This window comes from Homo sapiens, chromosome 15 (genome assembly GCF_000001405.40).
Source record: "Homo sapiens chromosome 15, GRCh38.p14 Primary Assembly".
Taxonomy (NCBI): domain Eukaryota; kingdom Metazoa; phylum Chordata; class Mammalia; order Primates; family Hominidae; genus Homo; species Homo sapiens.
In genome coordinates this window covers 35,596,181-35,613,855 of record NC_000015.10, presented here as the reverse complement: position 1 = coordinate 35,613,855, position 17,675 = coordinate 35,596,181, and the positions used below count along the sequence as shown (strand labels likewise).

At 33.8% G+C, this 17,675-nt stretch overlaps 1 long non-coding RNA gene across 1 annotated transcript in view, besides 1 other annotated feature; it reads right to left on the bottom strand.

Annotated features, from left to right (window-relative positions):
- The window catches only part of DPH6-DT (DPH6 divergent transcript), a 312,807-nt gene that overhangs the window by 245,146 nt on the left and 49,986 nt on the right, over positions 1 to 17,675 (bottom strand). The gene's annotated exons all lie outside the window — the stretch shown is intronic.
- Positions 10,246 to 10,395: an enhancer, noted in NCBI's record as "active region_9191". NCBI's record gives its function as "activates an Ori minimal core promoter by ATAC-STARR-seq in GM12878 lymphoblastoid cells {active_cell/tissue: GM12878}" and the evidence as "EXISTENCE:reporter gene assay evidence [ECO:0000049][PMID:35858748]".

Here is a 17,675-nt window from a genome sequence, read left to right as displayed (position 1 = left end):
GACTGTAGTCTTGCAGAGTTTAAGGGACAGAATTCAGAGTTTTGAGAAGCCAAAGTGCCTAAAATTTTAAAAGCAAAGTACCCGAGAGGAGAGGAGGTTGCTTACAAGAGAAAGAATAGAGAAAGCTGGGAAGCTACAGAAAGATTCCCCCTTGAGTTCTTGGCTGAATACTGATCTGCACATGAGGGTGAGGCCAGAAAAGGAGCCATTAGAGAAGAGAAAGATCAATCCTGGAAGGCCACATTAGCCGATAATAGGTTCTAATCTCACCAATCAATGTAGAAAGACATCCTAATACATGGGCATGGGGTGTTGCCTTTATAAAGAAAGCACATTAGCCTAGACTAAAGAATGTCTGAACCCTTGCTACCAAAGCTTGAAAAGAAATCCTAAAGGATAAAATTGAGTCCAAGTAATTTAATTGTATCTGAGAACCAAGATCTCAAATATTTAAAGAACTACCTCCCCTGCCAAATCCAGAAAACTATAACATAAAATTCATATGTGCTAGCATCCAATCAAAAATTACCAAGCATGCAAACAAACAGAAAAATATAACCTATGAGAAACAACAATTATTAGAAACATATTAAAAATATACGTATAATAGAATTAGTTCAAAGTAATACTAAAATAGCTAAAATGAATATACTCTATATGTTAAAGAAGGCAGAGGAAAGTATGAACATGTTGGGAGAGAATGGAAGACAAAAAAGGAAAAAAATTCTAAAGGTGAAAAATAAAATATATAAAATAAAAATTATACCAAAGACTATTAAGAGCCTTACAGAAAAGAATAAGCCTTTCAGAAAAAAGATTAGTGGACTTGAAAACAAAGCAATATAAACTATACAAAATGAAACACACAGAGAAAATGGTAAAATAAAAATCAATAGAACATCAGTGGGTTGTGGGAAAATATTAACAAGTCTAACATAAGAAAAATTGAAGTCTTATAAAGGTGGTAGGGAGGGCACGGGTGGGACAGAAAAAAATATTTAAAATAACATGAAAAGATTTCAATTTCATAAATACTAATAAGCCAAAAATCTAAGAAACTCAAGAAAACTCAAGCAGAAGAAAAATTTTAAAAAACTATACAAAGGGATGTGATAATAAAATTAATGTAAACTAGGGGAGAAATCTTAAAAGCAGACAGAGAAGTCAGATTCATAATGCATAAATTGAAAAAAGAATGCAGCATGCTTTTCTTAAGAAACAATGCAAGCCACAAGGAAATAAAAAACATCTTTAAAGTACAAAAACATATATCTGCCAACCTAGAATATCATACCCATAAAGTATATATATATATATATATTTATTTTTAAATGAGGATTAAATAAAGACTTACTCTGATTTAGTAAAGCTGAGAGAATTCATCACCAGCAGACAGGAACTACAGTAAAGATTAAAGGAAGTCCTTTAGGCAGAAGAAAAATAAAACTAGATGGAAATATGCATCTACTCAAAGAAATGAAGATTATAGGCAAGATAAGTATGTGACAAAATATGAAAGACATTTTTTCATCTTTTATCTCTTTAAACCAAAAGTAATAATCATAGATTATGGGGCTTGTAAATGTGGAAGTGAAATTTATTATAAAAATAGCACAAAGACTGAGAGGAGAAAAATAGAAATACAAGATTGCAAATGTCTTATGTCATATGTAAAATGATATAATATTATTTTAAGATAGGCTATGATAAACTAAAAGTACATAATGTAAACCCTATAACAATCATATTAAAATAAAGTGAAGTATAACATGCTAATCATGGGGATAAAACATAATTATTTTTTAAAAGTAATCTGATAAGAAAAAGTAAAAGAGAAAAAAGAAACAAAGAACAAATAAAGTCCAAATAGCAAGATGATAGATTCACATATCAATAATTATCCAACGATTTAAACCCATACAATACTATCATTCAGTGATGGAAATGGTCAGTATTGTGATTGTGGTAATGATTTCATCACTGTGTATATGAGTCAAAACTGATCAGATTGTATACATTAAATATGTACAGTTTGTGTTTCAATTATGTCTTAATGAGTTTGTAAAGTAACCAAAGATAGAAAAGAAAATTCAATTTAAAATGGCCACAAAATATGTATTATTTCTAAATAGCCCAAGTAAAAGGCATGTATCATTAAGATACTTGAAAAAATAAACAATGCCAAACTCTTTAGAGCCACATAGTCTAAAAGAAACTCACTAGACATATAAAGATAGAGATATATTAAAAGATAAAGGATACAGAAAAGATACACCATGAAAACATTAATCAAAAGAAAGCAGAAGTAGTTATACTTATATTAGACAATGTAAACTTCAGAACAATGAATACTACCAGGGATAGAGAGGGTCAATTTCTAATGATTGTGGGGTCAATTTATCATGAAGTATTATCAATTCTATATGTGTACTTATATTTATTGCTGAACTTAATAACAGAGATTCAAAGTATATGACCAAAACCTGATAAAACTAAAAGCAAAAATAGACAAATCCATAATTAGAGATTTCAATATCCCACTCTCAATAACTGATAAACAAATTTGAGAAGCTATCAGTATGGCCATAGAAGACTTGAACAACATTACTAATCAATTTAATCAAGTATATATTTATAGAACACTCTACCAAGCAGTAGCAAAATACATATTCTTTTCAAGTGCACATGAAATGCTTAGGAAGATAGACCATTTTGTGCCATAAAACAAGACACAATAAAATTTTAAAGATTGAAAACATACAAAGTGTGTTCTTCAACCACACTGATTTTAATTAGAAATCAATTTTTTTAATGATACTTGGAAAATCATTGAATACTTGAAGTTAAATGACACATAACTAAGTAAATCCTAGGTCACAGAACAAAATCACAAAGTAAATGAGAAAATATTTTTAGCTGCACAAAAATAGAAATGCAACAAAAATATTGTGAAATGCAGATAAAGCAGTGCTTAGAGAAAAATCTGTGACATTAAATATGTATATTAGGTAGAAAAGGAGGGAAGAAAATCAGTCATCTAGGCTTCTACCTTAAGAAATTAGAAAAATGAGCAAACTAAACTGAAGTAAGAAGAAATAATATCATCAAATTTATAGCACAAGTAAAACTTGAGAGGAAAAGCAAGAAAAATCACAAGAGAAAATCAAGGAACAGAAAACAACAGACAGTATCAAAAGCTGCTTCTTCTAAAAGAACCATAAAACTCCTAACACTCTAACCAGACTGATAAGGTAAAAAAGAGAAAACACAAATTACCAATGTCATAAGTAAGAGAACAAACATCACTACAGGTTCCATAGGCATCAAAAGACTAATAAAGTATTTTAATAAACAACTAGATGCCAACAAATTTGATAACTAAGATAAAATGGAAAATTTATTTGAACGATACAATCTACCAAAACCCACTCAAGTGGAATTAGATAAGCTGAATATTCCTGTATCTGTTAGAGAAATTGAATTTGTAGTTTAAAAACTTCCTATAAAGAAAATCTCAGGCCCAGGTGGCTTCACTAATAAATTCTACCAAACATGTAAGAAGGAAATACAACCAATTCTATACAATCTCTTCCCAAAGGTAGAAAAGAGTTCTTTCCAATTCAATGATACAAAAACCAGAAAAAGAAATTACAAGAATGTCTACCTTTACTACTTTAATGCAATATTGCAGTAGAGATTCTACCCAGAGCAATAGAGCAAGAAAAAGAAATAAAAGGCATACAAATTGAAAACGAAGTAAAGCTGTCTACATTTGCAGATAGTATGGCTACTTTTATTGAAAGCCCTAATGAATCTACAAAGAAGCTATGGAGTTAGTAAGCAAATTTAGCAAAGTCACAAGATACAAAGCAATATGCAATTGTATTTCTCTATACTAGCATTGAATAATCAGAAACTAAAATCACAAAAATACAGTGGGCAATTTCTTAAAAAGTTAAAGATTCACATGCCATTCCATTTACAGGTATTTACTCAAGAGAAACAAAACACAGCCATTCCATTTACAGGTATTTACTCAAGAGAAACAAAAGTATATTTCCACACAAAGACTTGTACACAAATGTTCATAAGAGCTTTATTTGTAATAGTCATAAATGAGAAACAACCCAATGTCTATCAATGGGTGAAAGGAGAGAAAATCCTGGTGTATCCATGCAATAAAATACTACTCAGGGATAAAATTAAATGAATTATTCATAACTCAACAACATGGATAAATTTTGAAATCATTATGTTTTGTGAAAAAAGCCTGAAATAAGGATAATATTGGATTATACAGTCTCCATAAAATTCTAGAGCATACAAACTAATATATAATAATGGAAAGTAGGTTAACAGGTATTTGGAGCTAGATGTGGAGAAAGTGATCAACTGCAAAAGGCATGAGGAAATTTTGAAGTTTGATGTAAATATTCTTTTTCTCGACTGTGATGATGGTTGTATAAATAAATAAAAACCTATCAAAATACATATTACATATGTAGTTTATTATACTGCAATAATAGTTCAATAAATGTATGAAATAAGTAACTGTGGGATATAGAACAATAAAGAAAATAATTCAATTAAAAGTTGCATTAAAATATGAAATAGTCATAAATTTAACAAAATATGTATAAGACCTTTACACTGAAAACTACAAAACAGTATTAAAAGAAATTAGAGGTGCTTTAAATAAATACTTATGTTCCATGCTCATGTATCAAAAGAATACATATTGTTAAGATGTCAGTTCCCCACCAAACTAATCTATCGAGTCAGTGCAATCACATTCAAAATTCAACAGGCTTTTTTCAGAAATCGACAAATCAATTCTAAAATATATATGGAAATTCAAAGGGCCTGGAATGTTCAAAACAATTTTGAAAACAAAGAAAAAAGTTGAAGAACTTACACTACCTGATTGTAAGACTTACTATAAAGCTATAATCACTAAGATGTTAGCATAAAAAATAGATTAATGGAACAGAAGTTCAGAAATAGAGCCAAACGTATATGATCAATGATATTTGGTAAAAGTGCCAAGTCAATCCAGTGTGAAAAGTTAAATTCCAATGTGTTGGAACAACTGGGAATTAAATATTCACACACACACACACATACACACACACACACACACACACACACACACAGAGAGAGAGAGAAAGACTACAACCCGGGACCCTTACTTTTTATATACAAAGATTTAACTTGAAATGGATTATAGACTCAAATTTAAAATTTGCTAAAGCTATAAAATTTCTAGAAGAAAATATAAGAGAATCTTTTAGTCACCTTAGATCAAGCAAAATTTACTAAATAGTACTCAAATTTCATAGACTATAAAAAATTGATAAATCATACTTTGTTAAAATCTTAAGATTTTTCTTCTTCAAAAAACACTGTTGAGAAAATATAAGGGAAAGCTTGGGTCTCACTCTAGACCTACAAAATCAGTATCTCCAGGAATGGGGTTCCACATGTCATTTTGAACCATAACTGTTAAGAATTATTGCCTCGGTTCTCAAATTAAAATTTGAGAATTTCAATATATAGTACCATATTGATGGCCTCCGCATAGGACCAAAGAAGACTCACAGGGAGAAATAGAAGACAGATATTCTCTACGGTAAATGAGAAAATTAGATCTAGAGAAGAAAAAAAACTAAGAGATTGATAAATACTGGCTTGCAAATACATGAATAATCACTGTGCAGTGACCTTGGCACAGAGTCACTGCATAGTGACTAAAAAAAAAATAGTTCTTGATATTAGGTTTCAAATGAGATACTGGAATCTTCTCAAATATTCATTAAGGTAAGTTATTCCTCGTTAAAAGACATGATCTTAACCACAAGAAGGTAATCTGCAGAACTGAAGTTTCTCTCCTAGATAATTACTTGAGAAGTCATTCTGTATCAAAGTCCATTTGCCAAGAAGAGCCAATTCACAAGTTGGGCATCAAGAAAATCCCTCCATAAACACAATCTATATCCTTCTGTCCCCTTGCAAAGTTTTACTGTGTTAATGTAAAATTGAAAAACTGCACTGCTATAGTTTCCCTTTTCTCAGTCTACTTATTAGCAAACAGTAGTAGGTAAGAGGAAGACGTGGAAGAGTTTTAAAACTGTTTGAATTTATGTGTATCAGACACAAGGTCCCAAGAGATGTTCCATGTCTGTCTGCTCGGTGTCTGAATAATAGTTTTTAGACATAAGGTAAATATCTAAATAATAATCAACCCCAGAAATCAGCATTGTAGAAAGAATGAACTAGCTGAAATTTTATTTATATTATCTACCCTAATTTCCCCCAACTGAATGTTGAAAGTCAGGATGTACATATCTGAAAGAATATCACAAAGCAGGCACTTTACAAATATTAACTATTTTACTATGATAAAAGTGATGCATACTCATTTTAGAAAATACAGCTAAACACACACATAAAAAATTATTTATAGTTTTGCCACCCAAAGATAATTACAACTGATACTTATGTATCAACCATCTGTGCACTGACACATCCGTAACACCAAAATGGAAGCATCCAGTATATATTGTTTGTGATCCTGAAAGGTGCATTCTTCTGTTAATATGCAGCTATCTCTAATTTTCCAGCTATTATGTAGAATAAGATTCAGCAAACCTTAGTGAAACTTATGGTCACAAAGAAATATAAGAGTAGATTCCTGACCAGGGTTCACATCCACCAATTCTCTATATTGAGAGTTTGGTAATTTGATTTACCTAATTGCAACATTGATTATTTAATTGTGTTTCATCTTGCTTCTCATTTTGTAATCTAAACATCATTTTCAATGGATCTGCCTTCCCTTTTCTTTATCCTGAATTCTCTCCATTAGAAACTACATTTTATTTCATTGCAAAATGGATATTAATTAGCAGCAGAGATCAAAGAATCGTGTTACAATCCCTTATGGAAATTATTAAGATTCCACTTCTACTTTTTCATGAGTCTTTGTCCCAAAACTGAAGCAATAACTTGGTCACATTAAAAAAAATCTATACAAAAAGGAATTATTATTGTTGCTTATTCTTGCTGTCCTTTTTCCATGACCACAGGGAGCCAAATACTAATTCTTTATTGGATTCGTTATTGAAAGTGTTGCCAACACGGAATTGGGAAAAGAAAACAATTGAGCTTCCTAAGTAGACCACAGAGCACAAATCTTCAAATTAGCTCCAATAATTAAGGCATCTTGTGAAGGGCTTCAATGACAGGATACACTCATCTGTCCCTAGCACAAGACCCATATCAATTACCCTGGGTATGAGGAGGCTGGTACACAACAAAGGAAATAAAAATACAGAGGCTGACAGTCTAGACAAAGCCTGACTCTGGTCGAAAGCAGCCTCTCCAAGTGTTATCTTTAAGCCAAGTGGTTTTAAATAAGTTTAAATACCAACAGGGGGTTAATTTGAAATCAGTTTGATTCTATTTTTGAATTAATGCCTTTAAAAATCTGCTTTTATAATTTCTGCTTATCAAGGATTGCCCTTCTGGTATAAAAACCGAGCCAAGACTCAGTTATCAAATACTATGAAGGGTTCTGTTAATTAGATAGTTTATCTGTGATGAGTTGTTGACACTGAGATGATGTGTGTTAAATAATTTTAAAATATTCTGTGGGGCACTAACTTGGTGGTTCAAAGCATTATTCTTCAATTTTTCAGGCCCTGCTTTAAGTCAAACTAGAATCTCTTAGTATAAATTAATGTGAATCATTTCTTAAATATAGAATCATTCATATCTCAAAATTATATGTATGAGAGAATAAATCTTCTGGCGCTCTTTATTAGGCTGCTGTAGACCATTCTAACTAATCCAGCCTCTCTCACATGATGGTTGGTCTTTAACTGCTTGGTACTGACTGCCAGGAAATTCATCATTGCTGTTATTAAACACAATTCTCAGGATTTGCTCTTTTTATAATGTTTCTTGTAAAAGCTTTTTGTGTGATTTTTCCTCTGGCTTCTTGTTCTACTTCCATATAGGGCAACCCAGGAGAAATCTCAGACACTGAAATATTTTTACTCATGTAGGTAAATTAAAGCTCCAGCTGTTAAGGGTTTTTCTTTCTGTCTGTCAATTTTCTTTTTCAAGTTATGGTCTGTGAAGGCAGAGGCCAAGAACAGTCCACGGGGAATGGCTTGGAGCCTTAGAACAAGCTGGTATCCTTGTATTTTCCAGAGGAAAAAATATCGGACACCAAAGTTTAACATCAGGAAAGCTGCTAATTAATTAGCCCATAAATTGTTAAAAGCACGAATCATTCATCTCTGGGATTTCATTTAAGCTCCCCTTTAAATATTGATTTTATTTATCACTTTGTTTCTTTAAATTTTTGCTCTTTTCTTTTCTCACACATTCTCTAAGAGACATGATATTCTGTGTCTCATAGAATCTGAAGTCCTGAGGTTTTTGTTTAATTAATAGTCATAATGTGTTTAACTGGTATGTACATGACTTAGAAAAAGAGATGGTTCTTTCAAGGTAGTGAAGTTCTCTGCAAAAAAAAAAAAAAAATCACTAAATTCACAGGAATCCTTAGTTCATATTCTAATGTTACCATTATCTGTGGCCTCAGGCAAGTTGACTGCCTAGGTCTTGGTTTTCGTATTTGTTAAATAAGGAGATTAGAATCCATGAATATCCTTTCCATGTCTAATAGTCTATGATTCTCTTTATCAAAAGAACTTAGTGAAAGAATAAAAATGGAGTTCACGTGAGGAAATAGTTGGCAAGCAGCCATTTGAAACTGTTTTTGTTCATTTGCTTCAAAGAAGATTTTGAAGAAAATTATCAACAAAGAAAGGAGAATACTGGCAATCAGGTAAGAGGAAAGAACTCTGGACAAGGAGTGGGGATCCAGTTCTAGTCACAGTTGCACCACTGACAACTTAATGATCATGAAAAAGTTACGAAATTGAAGATTCTGAGGCCAAAGATTGGACTCAAAACTGAAAAAGTTTGATTTTATTATGATAGTCCCTTTGACTCCCAAACTGCTATGATTCTATAAAATGGCCCCAAAGTCAGGGAAGAGGATAACTGGAAATGTCCTCGCAGTTATTGTCAATGAATTCTATCCTTTCATTTCTGATTAGGGAACATTGTTCAAAAACATCACATCCTAGACCATCAACTCAGAAGTAAAACATACCCTTGGGGACCCTGAACAAATGCTATAACCAACAGTAACTTTCTGAATCTGTAATATTTTAGTTTTAATGATGGCAATCTCCATGTACTCACCCTGAGAGTTAAGGATTATAAAGAAAGTTGTTCCATATATTTATTGTTCCTCCTCTAAATTTCTTCTGTTCATTTTTTGACCCAGAATAAAACTGAAATAGCTAACAAAAATCAAGCCACTACTAAAAATATAAATCCGAGTGGTAAATCTCAAGACGATTAGGACATGTGAAGTATTTGTACCCTTTCTGCAAAATTTCCTAGACTGTCTAGGCACCCTCCATCATACTGAATTTTTGCAAAATAGCCGTATTACCTGCAAACTGACAATACTCATGCATTCCAGCCTTTTGACAGAAGAAATATTTTCATTAATATTTTTAAGCTCTGTATCAGTGTAAAAACTCAATCAAGACTCAAAGGGAAAAACCTAGCCAAAAAAATGTATTACAGAGGATAGTTTCCAGATTTTAATGATTTACCAAGTGAAAAATATAAAAAGTGATAGATTTTTTTTTCCTCCTAAAACATCAAGTACTGGACACTGCCCAAGGTAAGACTGCAAAAGCAGATGGTGTAATCATCCATTCCAGATAGTTCTGCTTCTTTTCTGCTTGTCTCCCTGGAACCCAGTCAGAAGCTTCTCCTTTTTCTTCAGGACATTGATGCTTCCCCTATGCTGGGACCCTCATTTTTTCATAAGTCCTACTTTGGAGAAGCAGCACATTCCAACAGCCCTTGCTTTGAACCATAGTATAAAAGATGTAGGCTCTGTTCTCAATTTCTTCATGGTCCTGGTATGCAACCTGGTCCAAATACTTTTGGCCAACCCCTCTTAATCCCATGCTTTGAGTTTTCTTTGATTGGTAAAAGAATAATTAGCAACATTTGAATTCACTGAATGCATATTTAATGCATTAATAATCAGGATCCATTATACCAGGACATAGAACTCACAACTAAAGCTGTTTAACGATTAAATAAGAAATCTGTACTTTAAATTTTCACCCATAGAGTTTTTGGATCATAGCAACCAACTAACTTCCATTAGCCTCCTACACAACCATTTTGAAATAGGAAACCAGAATAGAGGTTAAGGGAATTTCCTTAGGCCGCAGTCCAGATTTAGGTAATAACCTCTTTCCTCAACATGAGTCATTTACTTTAAAACTCCCCAAACCAAAAGGTTTTCAATGTCAGTCTCTAAAATACACACAGTACCCACTAAGCACAGCAAAAAAAATCTCCAAATACTCATGATTTTAAAATAAATCATAACCTAAACTATGTTTTAATGCCCAAAAGGCCCAGTAACTTTAAAATTGTTCCCTCAAAATAGGCTCTCAAATTGTTTTCACGTTGTACCTCCAGTGCTTGAAACACAACAGAGATTAAAAATGTATATTGAATGGATGATGAGTTGTTGACAGTAGTCTGAAATAAGGTAGCACGAAGAAAATGAGAAACTGAGTGAAGTGGATTGTCTGTAGGAATATTATAAAAATAAAAATACAAATAGTTTGTAATAAGGTGTGGAAAATACGTTGAAGAAGAGGGAACCTAAAGGGGTTTCCCAGCTTCTGACTTAAGAGACCAGATGATGCCATTCAATGAGATAGGAAATATGAAAGAGAGGGAGGTAGGTGGGTGCATGGTCGATGAGATCAAGATTATATGTGCTAAATCAAAAACTATCATGGAACATGGAGGGAGAATTATTTGATAAGAAATTGGATATACATATTTGAGTTGAATAGAGACATTTGTGACTTGGAAGTCATCATCATGTGTATCATAATTGAAGTTATGTCAATGAATGAGATTACCAATGTGATGGTTAATTTTAGGTGTCAACTTGGTTAAGGGATACTCACATAGCTGCTAAAGTAAAATCTCTGGATATGTCTGTGGAGGTGTTTCCAGAAGAGTTCAGCACTTGAATCTGCAGATTAAGTAAGGAAGATCTACCTTCACCAATTTCATCCAATCTGTTGAGGACCCAGATAGAACAAAAAAGCAGAGGACAGGTGAATTCACTTTCTCCTCTGGGACTGGAACATCCTTCTTCTATTGCCCCTGGATGTCAGAACACCAGGTGTTCAGGCTTTTGACTTTGGACTGAGAGTTATACCATTGGCTCCCATGGTTCTCATGACTTTGGACTTAGATTGAATTATACCACCAGCTTCCCTGATTATCCAGCTTGCAGATGATGCTATATCATGGAACTTCTTTCTACTTTTTTTAAATACACACACACACACACACACACACACAATTTTATTTATTTATTTATTTATTTTATTTTTTGAGATGGAGTTTCACTCTTGTAGCCTAGGCTGGAGTGCAATGGCACAATCTCGGCTCACCGCAACCTCTGCCTCCCAGGTTCAAGCGATTCTCCCGCCTCAGCCTCCCGAGTAGCTGGGATTACAGGCATGCACCACCACACCTAGCTAATTTTGTATTTTTAGTATAGATGTGGTTTCATCATGTTGGTCAGGCTGGTCTCAAACTCTTGACCTCAGGTGATCCACCCACCTGGGCCTCCCAAAGTGCTGGGATTACAGGTGTGAGCCACTGCATCCGGCCGACACACACATATAGTTTAGAGACAGGATTTCATTTTGTCACCCGTGCTGGAGTGCAGAGGTGCAATCACGGCTCACTGTAACCTCAAACCCCTGGACTCAAGCAATCCTCTTACCACAGCCTCCTATATAGGTGGGACTACAGGTGCACAACACCATGCCTGGTTAATTTTTTATTTTATTTTATTTGTTTTTTGTAGAGACAGGTTCTCATTATGTTGCCCAAGCTGGTCTTGAGCTCCTGGACTCAAGTGATCCTCCTATCTCAGCCTCTCAAAGTGGTTGGATTACAGATGTCAGCCACTACGCCTGGCCTCATGGGACTTCTCAGCCTCCATAACTACATGAGCCAATTCCCATAATAAATCCCCTTTTATATATATATAAATATGTATATATGTCCTTATTAGGTCTATTCCTTTGAGGAACCCTGACTATGATACCAAGGGAATAAGTATAGAACAGGATATCAATATAATTTGAAATTAGTGTGAAGCCTCCAACTTTGTTTTTCTTTCTCAAGGTTGTTTGTCTATTCAGGGTCTACTGTAGTCCCATATAAATTTTAGAATTATTATTTTTTTCTATTTCTGTGAAAAGTGCCATGGAAATTTTGATAGGGATTTGCACTGAATCTGCACATCACTTTAGGTATTAAGGATATTTTGACACTACTAATTCTTCCACTCCACAAATATAATATATCTTTTTATTTATTTGTATCTTCTTTCTTTCATCAGTGTTTTTTGATTTTCAGTGTACAGATCTTTCATTTCCTTGATTAAATGGTTATTTTATTCATGTTGATGCTATCATAACTGGGATTGTTTTCCTGATTTCTGTTTCAGATACATCATTGTTGGTATAAAGAAATGCAACCAATTTTTGTATATTGATTTTTTTTAATCCTGCTAGTTTACTGACTTTATTAGTTTTAACAGGTTTTTTGGGAGAAGTCTTTAAGGTTTGCTACATCTAGGATCATGTCATCTGCAAATGGGGATAATTTTACTTTTCCTTTACAATTTAGATGCCTTTTATTTCTTTTCCTTGTCTAATTGCTCTAGCTAGTACTTCCAGAACTATATTGAATAGAAGTGCTCACCACTTCTATTCAGAAGAGTGGGCATCCTTGTCTTATACCAGATCTTAGAGGAAACGTTTTTTCTCATTGATTATAATATTAGCTGTGGGCATTTGTAAATGGCAGTTATCATATTGAGGAAGTTTCCTTCTATACCTATTTTGTTGACATCTTTTATCATGAAAGGATGTAGAAATTTGTCAAATGCTTTTTCTGCATCAGTTGACATGGTCATATGCTTTTATCCTTCATTCTGGAAATGCTGTACATTACACTGCTTGACTGGTACATTCTTAAATGATTGTGAGCGTTGCTAAATTTTTAATTTGTTAAGGACATTAAAAGTCTATATAAGTAGCCTTTACTATTATTACTGTTTCATAGAAGTAGAAGACAGATATTTCGACACAAAAAAAGTATTGATAACACAATCCTAAAACGAAGGACAGTCCTCCCAATTAACCAATTAACGTAGATAAAAGACTCATTACACTGACCTTCATTGAAAAAATGGCTATCATGAAATGACACTATTTGAGGACAAGCATTTGGGAAGAACTAGTACCAGTGTAAACAGATTTCCAAGGACAAACATCCAGGGAATGCTCATCTTTAAGTGCTCATCTTTAAGTGCTCATCAGAGAAGAAGAGTCTACCAAAGAGACTGAAAAGCAGTAAATGGAGAAGTAGAAAGTAAATCTAGGGAAGTATGACATCCTAAAGCCAGAAAAATGTTTCAATAAACATGCAGTCAACAATTCAGATGTCACTGAAAGCCAACGGACATATTAACAGAGAGTCTGCTGATATCCTAAGTAAGAATAGTTTTATACTAAAATAATATGATGTGAAGACTTCACTTCTGGGCTGACTCAGGCAATACAACAAATTTTGTTGAGACTTCTAAATTCAGATCAATAAGTATTTGCTGAGCACTTAGTGTGCCCTGAACTATTTAACAAAGCCCCTGAGCGATTCAAAGATTAGTGACATATTTCCTGTCCTCAAGAAACTTGTAGTCTCAGGAGAGAGATAAGAAAGTAACTCCATGAGCTTGTCCTTAAGGTACTTCATATAAATGAAATCACACAATGTTTGCCCTTTTGAAATTGATTCATAATAGATATGCATATTTTGGGGTACATGTGATATTTTGATACATTTATATTAATGTGTAATAATCAAATCAAGGTAATTGGTATATCCATCACTTCAAATATTTATCTTTTCTTTATGCTAGAAACATTCAAATTATTGTCTACTAGCTGCTTTGTAATAACAACAGATTGCTGTTTACTATAGTCACTCTACTGATTTAATGAAGACTAGGTCTTATTTCATCTCTCTACCTGTATTTTTGTACCCACTAATCAACTTGTCTTCATCGCCTCCAACCCCTACCCTTCCCAGCCTCTGATAACCACCAAACTGGTATACAGAAAGCATTCAGCACACACTAACTGAATACCCACTGTGCAACATCTACATTGATCCATCACCAGTGGTTATGTTTTCTATCTTATTTTCTGATTTTAACCATTTTACTTCTAACAAATATGTCAAATGTATAAAGAGGAAAAACAAGAAGGAATTTCTACCAGGGCAGGGAAAGCTTCATGATGGGCACAAATTCACAGGGGGAAAAAATCGTGTAATTAGATGTTAGCAACTTTCAACCCCACCCGCCCATCAAGGACAGAAAAGGGAATAAAGTTTGAGTTGATCAACAATGATCAATAATTTAATCAAGTGTATCTATGTAATGAGGCCTCCAGAAAAACCTAAAAGAACCTGATTTGATGAGCTCCTGGATTGGGCTGATGAACATCCACTGCTGGGAGGGAAGTGTACCTCAACTCCATGTGGACAGAAACCCTTACGCTTAGGACCCTTCCAAATCTTGTTCTATGGATCTCTCCATCTGCTTCTTCATTTTTATACCTTAACATATTCTTTGTTATACAGTGATAATAGTAAGTAAGGAGTTTCCTTGAATTCTGTGAGCCACTCTAGCTAATTAATATATGCCAAGGAGTGGTGTCAAGGAAACCCCTAACTTATTGTTAGTTGGCCAGAAGTACAGGTCACAACTTGGGACTTGTGATTGGCATGTGAAGTGGAGGGCAGTCTTGTGGGACTAAGGCCGAAAGCTGTAGGATCTGATGTTAACTCCAGGTAGAGACTGTGAGAATTGATTTAAATTGAAGCATACCTAGCAGTTTCTGCTGAGTACTTGTTGTTGGTGGGGAGAAATCTCCACACATTTTGGTGATCATAAGTGTTCTGTGTTGAGGGAGTTTGTGAGAGTAGGAAAAACAGTTTGTTTTTTCCTATTCAATTTAGTTTTGGCCAAATGAGGGTAGATCAAAAATAGTATGGAATATGACAACACACTTTAGTTTGATGAGGTGATGTTTGAGGATAGAGCTGAAAGTTGAGAAACTTTCTACTTAAAGTGAATGAGAGAGTGATTAAGAATCCCAGGAAGAGGGAATAGCATGGGAAAAAAATATTTCCTTCCATTTGTGGTTTCCTTTCAACATTACCAATCTATAAATGTCTGCTCTTTGGATTATTCTTTGAATTGATTATCAACATCTTTCCAGTTTCCTAATTAATAATAATTTAAATAAAAATTTAATTTGTGTATTAAAAAAAGAAATCAACATAAAAATCTATGGATTATCACCAAAGAAGATATGCAACAGCCAACAAACATATAAAAAGATAGTCAACATCATTAGTCATCCAGGAAATGCAATTCAAAACCACAAGATACCACTTCATACCCATTAAGATGGCTAGAATTAAAACAGGCATACATACACACATACACACACACACACACACACAGAAAATAACAAGATACTTTGTTGGTGGGAATATAAAATGAGGCAGCTGCTCTGGAAAACAGTATGGCAGTTTCTCAAAATGTTAAACATAGAGCTACCATGTGACCCAGCAATTACATTTCTAGGTGTATACTCAACAGAATGGAACACAGGTGTTCAAAAAAAAACTTCTACATAAATGTTCACAGTAGCATTATTCATAAAAACTAAGAAGTGCAAAAAGTGGAAACAACCCAAATGTCTATCAACTTATAAATGGATGAACAAAATGTGTTATATCTGCATAATGAAATATTATTCAGCCATAAAAATTATTAATATATACTACATCATGGATAAATCTTGAAAACACTACACTAAGTGAAGGAAACCATATATATAAAGCCACATATTGTATTATTTATTTCAAATATCCAGAATAGGCAAATTCATCGGAGACACAAAGCATACTAGTGGTTGCCAGGATTGGAAGAAATGAGGATTGACAGCTTAATGGGTACAGGGTGTTTTGTGTGTGTGGTAGGGGAGAGGGGGAGAGGTGGTAGAAGTGCTTGGGAATAAGATAGTAAAATAGGGGTGACAGTTACATAATATCATGAATGTACTAAAAGCCATTGAATTTTGCACTTTATAGTGGTCAATTTTATGCTATATGAATTTAAAAAAAAAATCTATGGAATACAATGTGGCCACAAGAGCCATAGGAGGGTTGCCAGGCACTATGAGAATATAAAGGATGATAGAGCAATCAGAAAACTAAAAAGTGTGGTAGTTTTTGAGCTAAAATTTTAAATGCAGAGACAAATACAAAAGAAGATTTGAAATGCAGAAATAGATACAAAAGGACAAATAGCAACAGAAGCAGAGAGAACATTTTCAGCAGGGTAAGAAATGGCAGGAAAATGTAGCTCATGTTCAAAGAGCATTTGATGGTCCTGTTTGGCAGTCACAGAATACGTGAAAGGTAGCAGTAGTGAAAGAAAAATTAAGGCCATGTAATTTGGAAATTCAAGTGCTCTCTTTTTCTATAGGTGTAATTTCTTCTTGGCAGTTAGTAGTGACAGCACATTGTTTGAAGTAGGTCTTAAATGCAGATCTTTGAAATGATTCCCACAGAAAATGTCTAAATTGGGAGTTTTTTCTATGCCCTTCCTCCTCACATTTTTTTTACTTTTAGTAAGTTTAGGGTAAACAAGACAATAATAAAAAGCTCTTGATACAGTGGGAAAAGGGGGTCTGTTCTCCCACACAAGTCCTTTGCTGGTTATAAAATTCTTCAACATTGGCAAGCAACATCAGTGTTCTTATTGTAGATTTGTTATTTTCAAAACCCAAAGCAGCCTCAAGTTACTAGTGTAGTATTCTCCTTTCCATGATTTCAGAAAATGTAAGTAGTTTAGCCACTTCCTATATGTCTAAATCACAGCAGAAGACATGGAAAACATAGGTACCTAAAACACTGTTGAAGGAATAAGAACTCTCCAAGCTTATGAGATGCATAGGATGGAAATTAGGCTCCTAGTTAGAAAGCATTTCATCAGCATACATGACATATGTCAAGTTAAATAATGCCAGAGCAGACCTCTCATCTTCAGCTACTCTTTCTTACTTAGAGCCCTTAGACAAATCACTAACATCTGATTCTGATTCTGCATTTCCATGATCTTCATTATCATTTGAGTCATCACCAGCACACAGTCATGAAGAATCTATGTGCATATAAACTGATTTTACTTTGAATTTATATAAAAAGCATTATATCTACCTCTGTGGCAGACACACGCTAAGGTGGCCAGCCTGGTCCCTACCTTCTGGTATTCACATCTTTATGTAATCCCTCCCATAGCGTGTAGGAAGGCCCTGTGACTTGTTCCCAACCAGTAGAAAATGGCAAAGGTGAAGGGATGTAAGTGATTACATACATGCAAT